The sequence below is a fragment of the Homo sapiens genome, chromosome 12 (assembly GCF_000001405.40).
Source record: "Homo sapiens chromosome 12, GRCh38.p14 Primary Assembly".
NCBI classification, from domain to species: Eukaryota; Metazoa; Chordata; class Mammalia; order Primates; family Hominidae; genus Homo; species Homo sapiens.
The window spans coordinates 21,184,535-21,205,391 of record NC_000012.12 but is presented as its reverse complement, the minus strand read 5'-3'; the positions used below and the strand labels follow the sequence as shown (position 1 = coordinate 21,205,391).

The window sequence follows — 20,857 nt, the reverse complement described above, 5'->3', positions numbered from 1 at the left end:
AAACAGACATGCTTAAAGCAGAACCTCTACAAAATGAAAAATCAAGAATAGAATCAGTTGAAAAAGGCTAGAAAAGCTCAGTATATTTTTGAAATAAAACTATAGTATACTTTATACTGATTTCCTTTATGAAATGGTTATAAATTATAAAATATGATTATAACATAGCTAAAATTATAAAATATATTTTTTGTATAATTCATTTCTGCTTAAACATTTAAAAAATTATTTTCTTTCAAATGTTTAATTTGATAATAATTGAGGATTGATGTGTTATCTTTGAATGAGCACATAATTTAAATGAAAAACTAAGATTCATACTTCAGAAACTACATTATCAATAATTTTATTAAAAAGCATATTCTGCTTGAGGAAATACTACTTGGAGTGGTTAAGTAGAATGGTTTATGACTACTATAGTCAGAATGTTTGTGGCCCCCAAATTCATAGATTGAAAACTAATCTCGTATATGAAGACTTTATGAAGTCAGGCCTCTAGAAAGTGATAAGGTCATGAGGATGAGTACTCATGAATGGAATTACTGACCCTTTGCCTGCCCCATCCACCATGCCTGGACACAATGAGAAGGTACCGTCTATAAATTAAGAAATGGGCCCTTCCTAGACACCAAAAGTGCCATCACCTTGGTCTTACATGTTCCAGCCTTTAGAATCTTGAAAAATTAATTTCTGTGTATTAATAAGCTACCTAGAACTTTGCAGCCTGAATGGACTAAGACAATGACCCAGTCCAGATATTGCAATCAGTCACATCTGTGTTTATATTAATTCTGGCACTTCTTTCTAAAATCAGTTTTGCCATTTGTAAGTCATAGATAATAATGCCAACCTCACAGGGTTTTTTTTTTTTTTGGAAAAAAAATTGGTTCTCAGAAGTCCTTCACACTCTTATAAAAGATTGAGGGCTTGTTCCAAAGGGATTTTGTTAAATTAAGTTGTACCTCTTGACATGTACTATATTAGAAAGTAATACTAAGAAAATTTTAATACACAAAAGTACATAAGCACACATATTTTAGCAGTCAGATTAATGAATTAATAACATACCTTGGAGCATTAGAAAATATCACTATACTGTCAGGATAGCATGAGAATAAAAAGGCAAATAATGTCTTAGTATTATTATAAAAATAGTTTTGAAGTTGTGCACCCCTTGATAAAGTCTCAGGGATCCTTAGAGATATTCAGAACACATTCCGAGACCTCTGCAATAATTCATACTTAAAAAAAAACTTATCCCAGTCGCAGGATTTTATGAATGTTGAATCCATTAATTATATTATTTATCATTAGATTATGAGTCCCATGAGGGAACTGATGTATCCTACAAATATCCTTAATATTTACCTTTAAGGAAAGGCTTAATAAAATTTTATTAAATGAAACAAATTCTGTTTAACTCTGCTGCCATCTTTTGTATACTTTGTACAGTGACTAACCTTGTTGTCAAGAAACTGGCCTGTCCTTACAACCAAGAAGGCTTTTGAACTAAGGGTGTGACATAGGATCAGTCTAGAGTCTAAAGACATTGTGTGACTTCAACATGTTACATTTTTTCTGACTCTTCAATAATAAAGGAAAGTATAATACAAGGGTTGGATTGCATCATCTCTAAGGTTCTTTTACCTCTAAAATTCAGTATTCTAGGACAATGTATTTTAATTTACTACAGTAGTTGATGGTGGATAGGAGATACCAATAACAGTTCAGAATTAGCAGTGTGCAGGGAAACAATTTCAGATAACCTTGGCAAGCCTCCAAGAATAGCACAATGTTTATAGAAGAAAATGTGGGAATATTTGACAAGTTAAAACCAACACCTCATGGGATCCAGACTTTGAAAGCTCAGCACCAGTAGTAAGCAGCACTAAAGAACATGGTTACTGAATTGTGATCTGAGCATCTCTGCTTGTTGCTTGAATGTGAACCTTCCTAAGCTTAAATTGTTGGCTATATTCAGGAAATTATCAGAAAACTGCATAGGATTCTTGCCCTTGATTTGAGGTGGAGACTGTTGCACTAAAAATACTTTGCTATACATGGTAATCATGGAAAAGTAAAGATTCTTCAATGTCTAATATGCAATTATATATAGAATATTTCTTAATGCTACTTCCAATGTAGATAATATCAGAAAAAAACAATATTAGCTTGCAAAAAAGAAAATTCAGTACAACATTAAAAGTGTTCTTTTGTTAAGATAGTTGTTGAACATCGATATGAACTGTAGATAAAAGTTGTTTAGTCACTTTTGGCTAATGCCATTTATGTAACTCTTATGATCCATCCAAGATTACAGTGGTGGTTAAGACTAAGAGTTTTGGACTTAAAAAACTCAAATTTGAGTTAGAATCTTAATAATGCTAGCTGTGTAATCCATGTATTTCTCTAAGCCTTACTTTTCCCATTCATAAAATAATGATAAAAGTACCCACTACTAATTGTAAGTACCACATAAATAATAGTTATTATTATTACAACCTATGTTGCTTCTCTTTAGTGGAGGAATAAAAGAATGTGTTTGAGGTCTTAAGAAACAGATATTTTAAAAATTTTAAAATTGAAATTTCTCTTAACTTAAAGAAAGTTTAGTTAAAATTGTTTTCTGCCTTATATTACTTATACAGAGACTCTTAATTTGATGGTTAACATATTATGCAATTGATATAGTGATATATACAAACCCATCATAGGTCATGGTTAGTCCGGCAACTGATTTGTTTTCACAGAGTATGAAAAAATATAATAGGTAAAAGGACAATGACATCACAGCAGTAAAACATGAGAATTTGGCAATTCCAACGGTGTTCAGTTTGAATTTTTTAATGATATATCCTCCTAAAAACATTCCACTTGCAAAAATAGGTATGGTTATGACTCCTAGAAAAAAAAGAAAAAAAGTTGTAATCATATATGAGTTTTCTGATATGTCTTTATAGATGAAACACAATGTATGTCAATCAAATTTATTCAATATTATTGCTTCTTTTTAAAATTTTACTTTAAGTTCTGGGATACATGTGCAGAATGTGCATGTTTGTTACATACATATACATGTGCCATGGTGGTTTGCTGCACCTATCAAACTGTCATCTAGGTTTTAACCCCTGAATGCATTAGGTATTTGTCCTAATGTTCTTCCTCCCCTTGCTTCCCACCCCTCAACAGTCCCCGGTGTGTGATGTTCCCCTCCCTGTGTCCATGTGTTCTCATTGTTCAACTCCCACTTATGAGTGGGAACATGCAGTGTTTGGTTTTCTGTTCCTGTGTTAGTTTGCTGAGAATGATGGTTTCCAGCTTCATCCATGTCCCTGCAAAGGACATAAACTCATTCTTTTTTATGGCTGCATAGTATTCCATGGTACACATGTGCCACATTTTCTTTATCCAGTCTATGATTGGTGGTCATTTGGGTTGGTTCCAAGTCTTTGCTATTGCAAATAGTGCTGCAATAAACATATGTGTGCATGTATCTTTATAGTAGAATGCCAATCTTATTACTTTTTAAAAAGAAGAATGATATAGCAGTATGGTGGTAGGGGATCTGTGTAATTTGTTCCTGCCAATGATGACAGTTTGGTTTCCTCAATAGCAAAAGGCAGTGTGGCTGAGGATATTTGTTGGAGCAGATAATTTCTATGAGGCAATTTTGTTTTTCTGGAAATAAACAACAACAAAACACCATCTTTCTGCCTATGGAACTTCATCTAAAGCCTTTTGCCTCTCTCAGATAGAGTTCTAACCCTCAGTAACTCACACTAAATCTGCCCAGAGCTTAACAACATAAAAATTAATATATCTTTGTCATTTATTAAAAAACATACAGAACCTGAACTGACAAATCGCTCTACATACAGGATTAATAATGTTTAATCCCTCCTATAACTTTTCCATATCTTTGTCTAATAAGAGTTAACAAAGATGAAGTCTTCTCTAGGAAAAAGCTCAGGCTAGGTTACTGGGAGTCAAAACATTATTTTTCGATTTTAAACTTTTATCTTAAGATCAACAAAGAGATTATCTGGAAGCTTGGTCTCCTGCTTCAGTACATTCATTTTCTTGTTTACTTATGACCTAGTTACATACCACATGATAAGTTGTTTAATTCATCATATATTTATATTGAATTTCTATAATGTGTCTACAATACTAGAGTTGTGGGAAGAATAATACAAGGAAACTTTCCTTAATAAGCACATCTAAATGTGCCATTGAAAATAGATATTGTAGCAAAAAATACTCTGTAAAATATATTTGTTTTGAATTATGCATATTTTGATGTATTTAAATCGATACTCTTTTTGGAACTATTAGTGTCATATTTTTGTAAGTAACTGAGTCTTGATTTCAAAGTCCATAAATTATAGAATTATAATGATTATAATTACAAAAGGGTTTGTCTCAGATCTTAGCACTAAATTATAAGATCCAATTATACAGATACTACCTCTAAATTGTCCATTTATTTGCAACATTTTTTTCAGGAACTCATCTAAAATAAGATGCAACTTCAAATGCAGAGCAATAGTGACATCACAAGTTTTATATGTTTAATAACATTTGAGAAAGAATACAAGAAAATTATACTTATCCTGTATTACTAAAATACAAAATCACTTTCACAATAAAATACCACTTGGAATACAGTATTTAGTATTATTTCACTTATTAAGCACACAAGTAAAAAATATGTCTTACCCAATAAGATGTTAGCCTTAGATGAAGGCTGACCATACTGTTGCTCTACGTATTTGAAGACATAAGTAAAAGCACCAATATAGCTGCTTACTTGTAACAACGTCAAAAGCACAAACATAACATACAGGGGATTAGTAAGGATGCTTTTAAAAGACTGGAAAAAACCTGTAAAATTGTAAAAATAAAGAAAATATTTGAATGCAACTTAAATATACATTTATATCTAAAATTTGTGAACGTAAGTCATGTAAGATTTAAAATTCTATAAACACATAACACAAAGAGTGAGAATAGCCTGCAATACCACAGGCTGTTCACAGCTTTTAAATATATTCTTTCAATATTTTCCATACGAATATTAATATTTATTAGTTTAGTTTATTTTACCCTCAAATAGGGTCATACGTAAGTGCTGTTTTGTAACTTGCTTTCTTCACTTAATATTTGGTTATCCTGGGTACTTTACAATACTATTGCAAACATATTAATTCACTTATTCATTCATTCAGCAAATGTTAGGTTTTCAACTGGGTACCAGACAATATGCTAATTGTTCAAAAAACAAAAGTGAAGGCCGGGCACAGTGGCTCACTCCTGTAATCCTAGCACTTTGGGAGGCCGAGGCAGATGGATCACCTGGGGTCAGGAATTCGAGACCAGCCTGGCCAACATGGTGAAACCCCAACTCTACTAAAAATACAAACATTGGCCAGCACGATGGCACACACCTGTAATCTTAGCTACTTGGGAGGCTGAGGCAGGAGAATTGCTTGAATTAGGGAGGCGAAGGTTGCAGTGAGCTGAGATGGTGACACTGCACTCCAGCCTAGGCAATAGAGCAACAAGACTCCATCTCAAACAAACAAACAAACAAACAAACAAAAAAACCCAAAAACAAACAAACAAAAAGTGAATAAGACATATGATGTTTCTTATTTATTAGTACTTAATGATATAAGTATTATATTAAAAATATAACTATTAAATGGAAATGTAAAGACAGCATAATTCAAAACTCACAGAAATAAGACCATTGAGGTTCAAAATTCTTAAAGATTAATTTAGTATGAGGACTCAGACCTCCTGTTTCTCTAGTATACAGCTCTTCTACCATAACATACTTTCTCAGTAAATTTGGCAATATTATTAACCCTCTGTCTTAAGATACAAGGAAAGCAGCCAGGGGATAATATTGTGTCCCAAGTAGTATTATAATAGTAATAATACAACCACCTATCCCTACAAACAGCTGTGGTAACAAACTTCTAACTTCTGTTCATGGTAGAAATTATGTCATTTGGATCTGTGATCACCAGGTCAACTAGCTGTAATAGGACTTAAAAGTAGAAGGAACTACTTAGAAAAACAGTAGGAAGTATCAGAGTTCATCAAGACAGAGCCAAGATATGGTTACTGAGAGTTGGATGATACGGACTTTGAAATATTTTTCTCTATTTAAATCTCTAAAGATTTTCATTAGATATGGTCAGAACTAAGACATCCATTTAATGTCAGCTACGAAACAGTTGCATCTGCTTGAAATAAGGAGTAGAAGGAGTTAGAGAAAAGAAACAGAAAAGAAAAAAAGAAGAGATAAGAAAATGTATAGTGGGAATAAACAACATTTAAAATTCTTGGGCAAAAGTGCCACATTTCTCTCCACAGGTCTCCCCAGTCATGAAAAACCATCCCTGATTTGTAAGTATTATAAGTGAGTTGTGGCCTTTCTTCAACAGAAATGGAGTATATACATTCACACAAGCGTTGCATTTTTGAGGATGAGAAATTCAATGTCATCCAGTGTAAACTTCTGTATAGTCATGATCTACTATATATCATTAATAAGTGGATCAATAAACAACTTAAGTGGCATTAAACTAAGTACCTTAGGAAGCAATTTCCTCCACTTTTGAAAAGTTCTCATTGTTTACACACTGTTTTTGTAATGAACTGAAATCATCTTTTCATTCTAATCAGTTTTAGTTCTATTCAAGAGCATATGGAATAAATTCAATATTTTTTCTGACTATATATTCTTATTTTATCCATTCCTAATAGATACATACTTAAGATCCTCTTTCTTAGGGTCACACCTACAAAAACTGTTCATAATAGAGATTATGTCTACAATTGTCCTATTTTTACAACTTCATTATCCTCTCTGTTCTGTTTGGATCACAGTCAACCCCGCTCCTTATAGGTTTAGACAATCTACTATTTTTTAAAGATTTGATTTGGTACAGTAGAAACATCATATACAAAATGAAAATTATTGGTATAGTACTTTTAGTGTGAATGTTAAATTTTAAAAACATAAATGTTTAACATCTGATTCTTAGGAAAACAAACTTCTACTTGTAGTATATCCCAATTTCCATGGTAATAAATCATGGTAATTCTCTTGCCATGAACAATTTCAACCTACCAATGTAGCTGAAACTTAACAGTCCTCTGCTATGAGCCAATATAAAGAGTACCAGAACACCACTGCTCTTGGGTTAGTGTGATAGAAAGGAGAAAATAGCAATAAAGTAATAAGTAAAAGACCTGATGAAAGGAAGAACCTAGGCTACACTGGAGAATTTGTCATCTTACTTTAAAGAAAACTTGAAAAAGATGCTGAGGGTTTAAGTGTTGCATTGCTTTGGCTATTTCACCATTTCTCCCAAATCTGAAAACTGCTGTCAACACCTCACTGATTCACATATCTTGCTCTGGCTACTGCCAAGTCATTCTCTTTGTTTATTGACTCTCAATGGTTCTCCATTAGTCCCAGGGTTTATATTCAAAAGAGGAGGCACTGTCAAATGCTGATGCATCCTAATTTACATTACTTAGTCTAATTATCTTAACTACCACCTTTGCTTCCACTTTATTTTGAATATTTAGATAAGATAGATAGATAGATAATTACCAAAATAAATATTACTCTAATTACATAGGGAGAAACTTCTCCCGACTTCCTTCTCCTTAATCCATCTCTACACCTGATAATAGTTAAGTTTAATTTCACCATAATACTTAAGGCACTATATTGCTATTGTCTATATATTTCTCAGCATCACCCACTAGGTTCTTGAAAAATAGAGGTAATGTTTTATTACCAGGGCATAGTACAGTTCCTGGTACTACTTGTTGAATAAATGAAGGAATGAAATATTATAATTCTTTGAACTCTCCCAGTTTAGACCATATAATACTAAAATTAATATTTACTATTTGGCTCATAAAAAATGGATGTTTGTAAACTTTTGTTGGTTTCTCCCTGCTAAAAAGTACAAACCTAATTCTCTTCCACTTGTTATGTGCTCAAGACATATATGTTAACTTTAATAGGAGTTTTAGAAAAATAATTTATCTAAATTTAGTGCAAAAGAAAGCCAACTCCAGATGAGTTGGGTATGCTTTATTATTTTGGAATACTCATTCTTCCTTTTCATTGAGATTAACAACTCCAAATTGACAATGAATGTTAAATACTTACCAGTCACATTTTTGGTAATATTTTTTCCTTGATTGGTCAAATTAGCTGTTTGATCCTTTTCATCATTTGTTTCCAGCACATGCAAAGACAGTGAAGCTTTTCTTTCTTTTTGTGGTTTATTTGGAGTTTGGGGCAAGAAAAAGAATGGTATGGAAGAAATAATGGAGAATAGTCCAGACACAAGGAAATTAAGCCACCAAGCTCCAACCCATCGAGAATCAGTAGGAGTTATCCTGATAGTGCCTAGAATAAATAATTATAGAAGCCAGTCAAAAATCATTTTGAAATACAATAGGTTCAGGGAAATAATGGTATGAAGAAAGTAAACTACATTTCCTCAATTCCAAGACACGATTTTTTTCTTTTAATTTTTTGTCATCTCTGAGACTAGGATCAGTCTAACATTTGATGACATAATGCAACAGATACTGTCTAGGAATCAGTCATGATATTGTTGTCATTGCCTGAGCTTGTGTGCACTTGATGGCTTTTCTGATTACATGACTGGACAGTTTCTATCACTGGACATTTAAGCTTGCAGACTGTTTAATTACTACCTGTGGAAGAACTATGACGTCTCATTGTTGTCTGAAAATGTCTATTGGCACAAGCTAATAAAATCAAGAAAGGGTCAGCAATGAAATTTTAGCAGTTTGCAAGAAATCTACTGAGTCAATAAAGGGGCTTCCCACCATGCCTGAAATAAGCATTTCCAACTCTCCTGACAGCACAGAGGATAAGAAAATACAGTGAAAATATGAGTTTAAAAGTAACCCTGAAGAGTTAGACTCTAAAAGTTAAGGATAATTTAACCATTTTATTTCAGTCATATTTTTCTTTAAATCATGAATAAGAGTATTATGTAAATGCTATATCTCAAGTGTAAATGCACTCTTTTAACAGGTATAAAATAAACAATCTAAGTAATAAAAAAAGCCAATATGAGTTATCAGCAAGATAGCCTAATAGGAAGGACTGGACCCTTTTTTCTTTCAACAATATTTTATTCAACAATTATACAGCGATCAATTCCATTAGTGGAAAATCCAGAAGCTAGTTGACAGGCCATTGTACCCCAGGGAAGTGCAATATTAGCTACATTGACACTTTTAAGAAAATTGGAGACACCTCTTTGCTGTTCCTCTCCTCATTATAATACCATGCATTCAAGAGGAACTAGAAATTTGCAAGTGCCTATGAACACTTGCAATAGCTCTATTCCCTGGCTCAACATAGACTGAATGTAAGAAAACTGCATCTCCAGCTTATCCCTGTGGAGAGACAGAGTGAGACTGCACATCCAAAACTGTAACTTTTCAGGTACTACCCTTGCGACTGTCTTCTATATCACCTATCTTGAAGTGTTGACAGGACTCAGCATATACCAGACCTTTGGAGGCTACGGAAAATAAAGAAGGCAGCTTGAACTAGTATGTAAGCATTCCCATAGCTCCTGGCCCATAGCTTAGGGCAGAATGACCAAGTTAAAAAAAATTAGAAACAAAAACTTAACTCCAGCTTCTCTATGGGGAGGGAAATATTTCGACCACAAACCTAACATTTCATCTTTTCTGTGTCCAACTCCAGCAGCTGGTCATTGTCTTGCCTATCTTGGGGCTAGGCATATGCTTGCTTCCAATGGGCTACAAAGAGCACAAAAATGGTGGCTTAAATTAGCACATGAGCACTTGCTACAGCTCCTCCCTGCTCCCAGATCTATGCAGAGTGAGGAGGTAAAAAAGAAAAGAAAAACAAACAAACAAACAAAAAACAAAGAAAACACCTCAGTTTTCAAATTCTCCTTGGGAAGGAAAAAATTGGATAGCATGTGAAATATTCAAAATTTTCTGGGAGTTGACCAAGTGACGGGCTTCTCTGTCCACTGTCTAAAAGTGCTCATGAGACCCTACATACTCTAGATTCTGAAAGTTCCTAACAAAAAGATAGCAGTTTAAAAAAGAATCAAAATTTGAGAGGCCCACAGACGCTCTGCTGGGGTTGAATGAAGAAAGTTTTCTCCTATACAATACCAGTCCATGAAGACTTGGAGGCTGATATGGTTTGGGTATTTGTCTTGTTCAAATCTCCTGCTGAAATGTAATATCCAATGTTGGAGGTAGGGCCTGGTGGGAGGTGTTTGGGTCATGGGGGTTGATCCTTCATTGCTTGGTGCTGTCCTTGCAATAGTGTATGAGTTCTCAGGAGAAGATCTGATTGCTTAAAAAGTGTGTGGCACCTTGCCTCCCCCTTGCTCTTTCTCTCAACATGTGATGTGCCTGCTCCTGCTTTAACTTCTGCCAGGAGTAAAAGCTCCTTGGGGTCTCCTCAGAATCTGAGATAATGCCAGTGCCATGCCTGTACAGCTTGCAGAATCATAAGCCAATTAAACCTCTTTACTTGATAAATTAGCCAGTCTCATGCATTCTTGTGTAAGAATGCCAGAATGGCCTAACACAGAAAATTGTTACCAAGAAGTGGGACATTGCTATAAGGATACCTGAAAATGTGGACTTGACTTTGGAACTAGGTAATGAGCAGAGCTTACAAGAGCTTGGAGGACTCAGAAGAAGATAAGAAAATGAAGGAAAGTTTGAAACTTCTTGGAAACTGATAAATGATTATGACCAAAATGCAGATCGTGACATGGACAATGAAGTTCATGCTGAAAAGGTCTCAAATAGAAATGACAGTTATTGGGAGCTAGAGCAAAAGTCACTCTTGTTATGCCTTAGCAAAACAAAACAACCCCCCCAAAAAAACAAAATTAATAATAATAATAATAAATAATTAAAATAATAAAAACAGAAGCCAGGAAGTGTGGCTCTAAAATCACTAGTCTCACCTCTGTTATGAGGCTATAGAAAATAAAATAGGCCAGGCGCGGTGGCTCACGCCTGTCATCCCAGCACTTTGGGAGGCTGAGACGGGTGGATCATCTGAGGTCGGGAGTTTGAGACCAGCCTGACCAACATGGAGAAACCCCGTCTCCACTAATAAAGTACAAAATAAGCCGGGCATGGTGTCGGGCAAAGTACTTGGCTGCATTTTGTTCATACCCTAGGGGATCTGTGGAAGTCTGAAATAAAGGGTGATGACTTGGCCGGGCACGGTGGCTCACGCCTGTAATCCCAGCACTTTGGGAGGCCAAGGTGGGTGGATCACAAGGTCAGGAGATCGAGACCAACCTGGCTAACACGGTGAAACCCCATCTCTACTAAAAATACAAAAAAATTAGCCAGGCATCGTGGTGGGCACCTGTAGTCCCAGCTACTTGGGAGGCAGAAACAGGAGAATAGTGTGAACCTGGGAGGTGGAGCTTGTAGTGAGCCGAGATCGCACCACTGCACTCCAGCCTGGGCCACAGAGTGAGACTCTGTCTCCAAAATAAAAAAAAAGAGCAATGACTTAGAACATCTGATGGAAGAAATTTCTAAGCAGTAAAGCATTAAGGATATAGGTTGGCTGCTTCTAACATGCAATGCTCAGATATGAGAGCAAAGAAATGACCTAAAGTTGAAAGTTATATTTAAAGGGGAAGCAGAGCATACAAGTTTGGAAAATTTGCAACCTAACTATTTGTCAAAGAAAGAAAAAGAGTTTAAGTAAAAAACTGTCTCAAGTTGCAAAAAGGACATTATAAAATGATTTTTTAAGTTAATTCACCAAGAATATACAACCCAATATATTCACCCAATCTCAAAGACCCAAAAGCTATAAAGCAAACATGGACAGAACTGAAAAGAGAAATATAGAGAAATACAATAAAATCATCTCTTGGTATCTGTGAACAATGGTTCTAGGACTCCCTATGGATACCAAAATCCAAGGATGCTCCAGTCTCTTATATAAAATAGTGTATTACAGTTAGCCCTCCATAGTAGGCTGACTTCATAATATCTCACTTTCAATTATAAATAGAATGACTAGAGAGAAAATCAATGAGGAAACAGAGGACTTCAACAACATTATAGACCAATTGAACGTAACAGACACATAGAGAATACTTCACTCAATAAAAACAGAATGTATATTCTTTTCAAATAGAAATGGAATATTTTCTAAGATAGACCACATGTTACATCATGCAACAGGTCTTGATAAATTTAAAATTAAAATCATACCAATTATCTTTTCTAACTACAATGGAATAAAACTGGAAATTAGTATCAAAAAGAAAAGTAGAAAATTTTAAAAATATGGATACTAACAAACTTTTCAATAATTAAATTGTCAAAGAAATCAAAAGGGAAATTAGAAAATATTTAGATACGAAGAGAATCAAAAACAAAACATTCTAAAATGTGAGATGCAGCAAGAACAGTAGTAAGAGGAAGTGTTCAGTAAAAAATATCTACATTTGTAGGGTAAATTTCATTTCCATATCCAAAAAACATAGGTTATTTCTCTAATTTATGGTCACTAGTAGCATCTGGCATTGTTTGCTCTCAGTACACACTGATAAATATCACATAATTATGCTAGTAAAAAGTAAAGAATTATCTTAAACTAACAACCTATTTTACACCTCACAAAATTATAAAAAGAAAAACAAACTAAGGCCAAAGTTAGCAGGAGAAAAAAAGATTAGAGAAGAAATAAATACAATAAAGAATATGGAAAAAAAAACATTAGAAAAAATATCAACACAACTAAGTGTTGATCTTTTTGAAAGAGAGGCAAAATTGACAAACTTTAAACTAGACTAAGCAAAAGAGAAAAGACTCAAACAAACAAAATAAGAGCTGAAAGTAGAGACATTTAATTGATGCTAGAAAAATAAAACAATCATAAGAGATTACTATGAGAAATTATACATCAAAAATTAGATAAGAAAGAAAAAATAAATTCCTGGAGACATAAAACACAGAAAATATAGAAAATATAAAGAGATTTACAACCAGTAAAAATATTGAATTAATAATCAAATACTTCTCAACAAAAAACTTAGGACCAGATGGCTTTACTGGTGCGTGTTACTAAATAGCTAAAGAAAATATTAATGGCAATCCATTCCAATCTCTTGCCAAAAATTGAAGAGAAGAGAACATCTTCAAACTAATTTTATAAGGCCAGCATTATTCTGATACCAAAGCCAGACAAAGACACCAAAAGGAAGAAAACTACAAACCAATATATCTGATGAAGACAGAGGAGAAAATCCTCAAACAATACTAGTAAACCAAATTTAATAGCATATAAAAAGGATACTACACTATATTCAAGGGGGATTTATACCTGAAATGCTAAGTTTAACAAATATCACCAAGCGTAATGTAACACATTAACAAAAAAAGGACAAAATCTACATGATCAAATATGCAGATGTTAAACAGCATTTGATAAAATCCAACAATGTTTTGTGATAAAAACTTTCAACAAGCTAGGAATAGATAAAAATTGCCTCAACAAAATGAAGTGCATATTTAAAAAGCTCACAGCTAGCATTAAATTCAAGAGTGAAAAACAGAAAGCTTTCAGGAACAAAGGAAGAATGGCCATTCTCATCACTTCTATTCAACACAGTCCTGCCATTTTATGCCAGAGCAATTAACCAAGAAAAAGAAATAAAAGACATTCAAACTTGAAAGAAAGAAGTAAAATTGCCTCTACTTGCAGATGGCATGATTTTGTATATAGAAAACCCTAAAGATGACACATGCACACACACACACACCTGTTAGAATTGAATAAACACATTCTGTAAAGTTGCAGGATACAAAATAATTATAAGATATTACTTATATTTCTATGAATTAACCAAGTACTATTTGAAAAGACATTAGGAAAGCAATTCCATTTACACTAAAATCATAAAGAATAAAACACAAAAATAAATTTAAGAAGGTGAAAGACTTGTGCATGAAATACTTCAAGACACTGAGGAAATAAAGAAGCCATAAATAATTAGAAAGACATTCTGTGTTAATAATTGAAGGACTTATTAATAGTAAATGTCCATACTACCCAAATATATGTAAAGATTCAATACAATACCTATCAAAAGCCCAATAGTATTTTTACAAAAATATAACAAACAATTCTAAAATACATATGGAACCAAGAAGGACATCAAATAGCCAAAAAAGCATTGAGAAAGAATAAAGCTGCCTCATATTTCCTAATTACAAAATGTATTTTAAAGCTATAGTAATTAATATAATATGGTACCAGCATAAAGACAGAAATATAGACCAATGGAACAGAACAGAGACAATAAATGGGGTAAAAAAGAAATATGCAGAATAAAATAAAATATTATAAATCATTTATATATGAAAAGGGGTTAATTTCTAAAGCACACGGGGAAATCCTACAACTCAATAGCAAAAAAATAATAACGATGAAAAATTTTGCAGGAACTTGGATGGAACTGGAGGACATTATTCTAAGTGAAGTAACTCAGGAATGGAAAACCAAATACTGTATGTTCTCACTTATCATTGGGAGCTAAGCCATGAAGATACAAAGACATACAGATTGATGTGGTGGATTTAGGAGGCTCAGAAGGGGAAAGATGGAAGGGGACTGAGGGATAAAAAAACTACATATTGGGTACAATGTACATTACTCAGGTATGTAAAATATCAAAATTTATCATTATAGAATTCACCCATGTAACGAAAAACAACATCTACCCCAAAAGCTATTGAAATAAAAATTAATTAGTTATTAGTGAGTAGAATGGTGGCTACCAGAAGCCAGGTGGTTGGGAGAACAGTGGAGTTGAGGATGCCTGGTCCATCCTGGTAGACCCTGGCCTACCAACAGATGAAAGGAGTACTCAGACACAGGTATGTGGTGAAAGAGTGGCTAGGGGACTGCCAAAGAGTGAGTAGCAGTCCCAACAAGCTGGAGCTGCTCACTTTTATTTAGTACAGACATAATGCCGAAAGGCTGGAGCCAACACAATCTGTGTGTAATTAACATTATTGTTCCCCCTTACTGGGAACAGTCACGTGTACGGATGGTCAAAGGTCAGTTTCTGGACAACATGGGTAGACAAGCCTATTTAGATAAATTCCCCTATACTTCCTTATACCTATTTCTTGTGCTCTGCCTCAGGGTAAGAGAACAGCTATCTTCAGCTTAGTCTCCCCTGAAGTTTTGCAGAGCCTTCTGACCTTTCTAAAGGCCTGCTTCCTTCCCTATAGCTTCTTCCACCACTCTGACTGATCTCCCACATGAGGAGATACTGGTCAAAGCATACATAATTACAATTAGGAGGAAAAAATTGCAGAGATTTATTATGCAGCAGGGTGACTATTCTTAACCACAATATGTTGTATTTTTGAAATATGCTGAGAGAGTAGATGTTAAGTGTTTCCACTACAAAAGTAACTATGTAAGATAATGCATTTGTTAATTAGCTAAATTTAACTATTCCACTTATATATGTATTTCAAAACATTAGAGTGTACATGATAAAAATACAATTTTATATATGTCAGTCAGTGGCTGATAACCTGTAATCCCAGCACTTTGGGAGGCCAAGACAAATTGGATCACCTGAGGTCAGGAGTTTGAGACCAGCCAGGCCAACATGGTGAAATCCCATCTCTACTAAAAATACAAAAATTAGCCAGGTGTGGTGGAGGCACCTGTAATCCCAGATACTCTGGAGGCTGAGGCTGGATAATCACTGGAACCTGGCAGGCAGAGATTGCAGTGAGCTGAGATCACACAACTGCACTCCAGCCTGGGTGACAGAGTGAGAGTGACTCAAAAAAAAAAAATTAATTTGAAAAAACAATTAGGCTACATACCTGAATAGAAATTTCTCCAAAGAAGACACACAAATGAACAACAGGTCAATAAAAAGATTTTCAACATTGCATATCAGGGAAATGCAAATCAAAAGCACAACTCCACTCTTTTCCTACACCTTACACCTGTAGAATGGCTATCATTTAAGAAAGAAAGTGTTTGCAAGAATGTGGAGATATTTGAACACGGTACACTGCTGGTAGAATACAAAAAGGTACAGCCAGTATAAAAGGTATTATAAAGATTCCTCAAAAATTAAATACAGAACTCTCATATGACCCAGCAATCCCACTTCTGGGTACATATATAAAAGAATTGAAATCATTATCTTGAAGAGACCATTTGCATTTGCACGTTCATTGCAGCACTATTCATAATAGCTAGCTGTAAAAACAACCTCATGTCTGCTGAGGGATAAATGGATAAAGAAAATATTGTATAGACATACAATGGAATATTATTCAGTCTTTAAAAAGAAGGATATTCTGCAATATGTGATAACTTGGATGAACTTTGAGGACATTAGGCAAAATGAACCAGTTACAGAAGGACATATACTACATGATTACATTCATGTGAGGAACATAAAACAGTAACACTCACAGAAGCAAAGAGTAGAATGGTTATTGCCAGTGATTAAGGGGAAGGGGAAGCAGGGAGTTGTTAGTCAATGGGTATAAAGTTTCAGTTATGCAGTTCTGCAGTCTCTACAGGAAGAAGAGAGGGGGGAGGTATTACACACTTTTGAGCAAATAAATCTCATGAGAATTCACTCAGTATCATGAGATCAGCATCAAGGGGGATGGTGTTAAACTATTCATGAGAAACTACCTTTATCACCCAATCACCTCCCACCAGGCCCCACCTCCGTCATTGGGGATTACAATTCTACATGACTTTGGCGGGAACACAGATCCAAATCATACCAGCTACTGTTGATCAGAATCCTTACCAATAACATAAACAGTTGATTAACACATGTTTTGTATGTTATATGTATTATATATAGTATTCTTAATATAAAGTAAGCTAGAGAAAAAATGTTATAAAGAAAATCACAGGGAAGATAAAACATATTTACTATTAAGTTGAAGTGGACCATCATAAGATCTTTCTCATCTCTTCACATTGAGTAGGCTGAGGAGGAGAAGGAATGGGAGGCACTGGTCTTGCTTTCACTAGGGTAGAAGAGGTGGAAGAGGTGGAGGAGGTAGAGGGAAGGCAAAAGAGGCAAGTACATTCAGTAACTATTTCATAAATACGCCATAATTTCTATTTGACTTTGTGGTTTTGTCATTTCTCTAAAAATTTTTCTAAATGGAACTAATCCTTCTTCCAACACATGCTTTAGTTTCAGTGCCCACATTAGACAAGAGTCCCTGTTATAAAAGAAGCCAAAAACAGTCTTGAATTATCAGAATCCTTCTGCTAGATTGCCTAATAACAATTTGTTTCTGGCACTGCTGCTTCTATGTCTCCTTCCCCATCATCTGACACTAGTTCGCAGGCACTCATCTCCATCAGGTCATCTTCTGTTAACTTCCCTGATGAGGTATGAATTAGCTCTTGAATTTCTCCAATACCGATATCTTGAAATTCTTTACTCCTCACTTTTTCTTCCATATCCATAATCTCTTTCATAATTTTCTTGATTGGCCATGTTGTTAATCCTATGAATTTATGCACAACATCTGAACAAAATTTTCTCTGGTAGAAATGTATTGTTTTGCACTTAATGACTTTCACTTTTTTTTTTCCCTATAACAATAGCATCTTAAATGGTGTAATTCTTCTAGTCTTTTATGATGTTCTGCCTATCAGGATTTTCTTTGATAGCACTGATAATCCTTTCGTTAGAGTATCATCTGTAATGATCCTTTAAAGTTTCTTATGACTCCATGATCTAGAGGCTGAATTAGAGATGTTGTGGTGGAAGAAATAGATCACTACAATGCCTTTGATGTTGAACTTATGGGCTTTCTAGGTGACCAGGGGCATCGACTGATATGAAAAGAACTGTAAAGGCAGTCCCTTACTGTCAAGCTACTTCCTGTCTTCAGGAACAAGGCATTGATGGAAACAATTCTGAAAAAGAGTACTAATTGTTCAGACCTTCCTTTTGTATGACTGGAAGACTAGCAGTTGATTTTTATCTTTTGCCTTCAAGGTTTGGGACTTATCAACTTTGTAGATACTAGCAGTTTTGATAATAAGCCTGACCTTATTTGTACAGAATAGTAGACTTACCTCATCCCTTCCTGCCTTAAATCCTGGTGCTCACTTCTCTTCTTTATTAATAAACGTCCTTCGTGGCTTTCTTTTCCCCAGGATAGGACACTTTCATCTGCATTAAAAACCTGCTCATGCAGATATGCTTTCTCAATGATTTTCTTAGTGGAATCTGAAAACTTGTTCACTTTCTCTCATTTGGCAGAAGCTGCTGCTTCTGTTATTTTGAAAATTTTTAAACCCAAATCATTTTCTAAAATTATCAAACCATCCTTTGCTTGCATTAGTTTCTCCAGTTTTAGATCCCTCACCTTCCTTTGCTTTAAATGGTCATATAATAACTTCACTTTTTCTCAAATCACATTAAAGTCTGTGGTTATGCCTTTCTTATAAAAGTTTGCAGCCATATAACAATTTCATTTTCAATATGAGATAAGACGGTATATTACTAAAAGTGCAAGATTTTGTGCCTGCTGGCATAGACTCAGCAATGCCATCATGAATTTCCTTTTTTTTTCCCTTTTTTTGTTTTTTACAATGATCTTTATGCTGGATTCATTTGTATTGAAACAATGGGCAGCTGAAGACCTCAATCTGCATTATATATCAAGCAATACAACTTTTTCTTGTAATGTCGTGACTTTTCTCAGTTTCTTAGGAGCAGTTTCAGCATCACTAGTGGCAATTCATATGGCTCCAACGGTGTTATTCAAAGTTGACAGTATTGCACTAAACAGTATAAAAACGCACAAGAATCACAATCAGATTTTGCTGCAATCCGCAATTTATTGGAGAGAGGAACTGTTCATGTGGAGATAATTAGTGTCACATGGTGTTTTAAGCAGGTGCTTTCAACACAACCTTATTACTACAATTACAGGAGGTGCTATGAAATTATTACAGCAGTAACGTATATATTACAGTCAATTGTATAAAGTTATGCTTTAATAGTACATCTTCACATTTGTTTTCACTTCTCTTGACTGTAGATGAGATAATATGAGGTACATATGTGTTTCTGTGCTTAAATTTGAAGTTTAACTTTAAAAAAGCGAACTTTTATGTTAGAATAAAATTAGAATTAGTAGAATTTGGCTGAGAATCCATCTGGTCCAGGGCTTTTTTTTTGGTCAGTAGGTTTTTTATTACTAATTCAATTTGATAACTTGTTATCGGTCTGTTCAGGTTTTCACTTTTTTTCTGGTTTAATCTTTGGAGGTTGTTTCCAAGAATGACTCTACTTCCTCTAGATTTTCTAATTTGTGTGCAGAGGGGCATTTGTAATGCATTTCTATGGGAGTTGTAATGTGATCTTTGTCATTTCCGATTGTGCTTAATTGGGTCTCCTTTTTTTCCTTGTTAATCTAGTTAACAGTCTATTAATCTTTTTGTATTCTTTTGAATAACAAACTCTTGGTTTTATTTATCTTTTGTATACATTTTGCATCACAATTTCATTCTGATTTTCGTTATTTATTTTCAGTTTGCTTTGGGGTTGTCCTTTTTTTTTCTAGTTAGTGTAAGTGCAATGTTAAATTGTTAATTTGAAATCTCTCTGCCTTCTTGATGAAGGCCTTTAGCATTGTAAACTTCCTCTTAACACTGCTTTAGATAGATCCCAAAGATTTTAGTGAGGTGTGTCTCTATTTTATTTAATGTCAAAAACGGTTTTACTTTCATTCTTAAACCAAGAATTATTCAGGAAAAGTTGTTGAATTACCATACTTTTGGGTGGTTTTAAGAAATCTTTTTGGTATTGATTTCTATTTTTATTGCACTTTTGTTCAAGAATGTACTCAAAATCTTTTAATTTTTTGAATGTATTGAGACTTTATGACTGAGCATATGATTGATTTTAGAATACAATCTATATGCAGATGAGAAGAAAGCATATTCTGATAGTGCTGGGTGGAGTATTCTGTAGGATGTTTTTGGATCCAGTTGGTTGAGAGTTGAGTTTAAGTCCAAAATTTACATTTTAATTTTCTGCTTCGATATCTAACACTGTCAGTGAGTTGTTGAAGTCTTCCACTATCATGGTGTGGCTGTCTGTTTTTAGTTTCCTTAGGTCTCTAAGAATCTTTTTTGTAAATCTGGGTCCTCCACTTTTGACTGCATATATATTTAGAATAGTTAAGTCTTCTCGTTTAATGGAACACTTTATCCTTATGTAATACCCTTCTTTGTCCTTCTTGATGGTTTTTGGTTTAATGTCTGTTTTATCTGATATAAGAATAGTGATTACTGCCCTGTTTTGTTTTCTGTTTGCATGGATAGATCTCTTTCCGTTCCTTTACTTTGATCCTGTGGGTATTGTACATGTAAGATGTGTCTTTTAAAGACAACAGAAGGCTAAGTTTTGTCTACTTATGAAGCTTGTCACTCAGTGTCTTTTACTTGGGGCATTTAGCCTGTTTACATTCAGGGTTATTATTGATACGTGAGATTTTGATCATGGCATCATGTTGTTAGCTGGTTGTTTCATAGACTTGGTTGTATAGTTGCTTTATGTGTCTGGGCTACCTATTTAAGTGAGTATTTGTTGTGGCAAGTATTAATCTTTTGTTTCCATGTTTAGCACTCTTCTAGAGACCTGTTATAAGGCTGGTTTAGTGATAAGAAATTTCCTCAATGTTTGCTTGTATGAGAAGGAGTTTAGTT

The 20,857-nt window shown here is 34.3% G+C and overlaps 1 protein-coding gene across 1 annotated transcript in view; it reads right to left on the bottom strand.

Annotated features, from left to right (window-relative positions):
- The window catches only part of SLCO1B1 (solute carrier organic anion transporter family member 1B1), a 108,603-nt gene that overhangs the window by 34,405 nt on the left and 53,341 nt on the right, over nt 1-20,857 (bottom strand). Inside the window, exons 8-10 of the mRNA NM_006446.5 lie at nt 8,204-8,446; nt 4,720-4,884; nt 2,706-2,901 (exon numbers count right to left, since the gene is read on the bottom strand). Of these exons, the coding sequence (NP_006437.3) occupies nt 2,706-2,901; nt 4,720-4,884; nt 8,204-8,446 (604 nt within the window). The remainder of the gene's footprint in view (nt 1-2,705; nt 2,902-4,719; nt 4,885-8,203; nt 8,447-20,857) is intronic.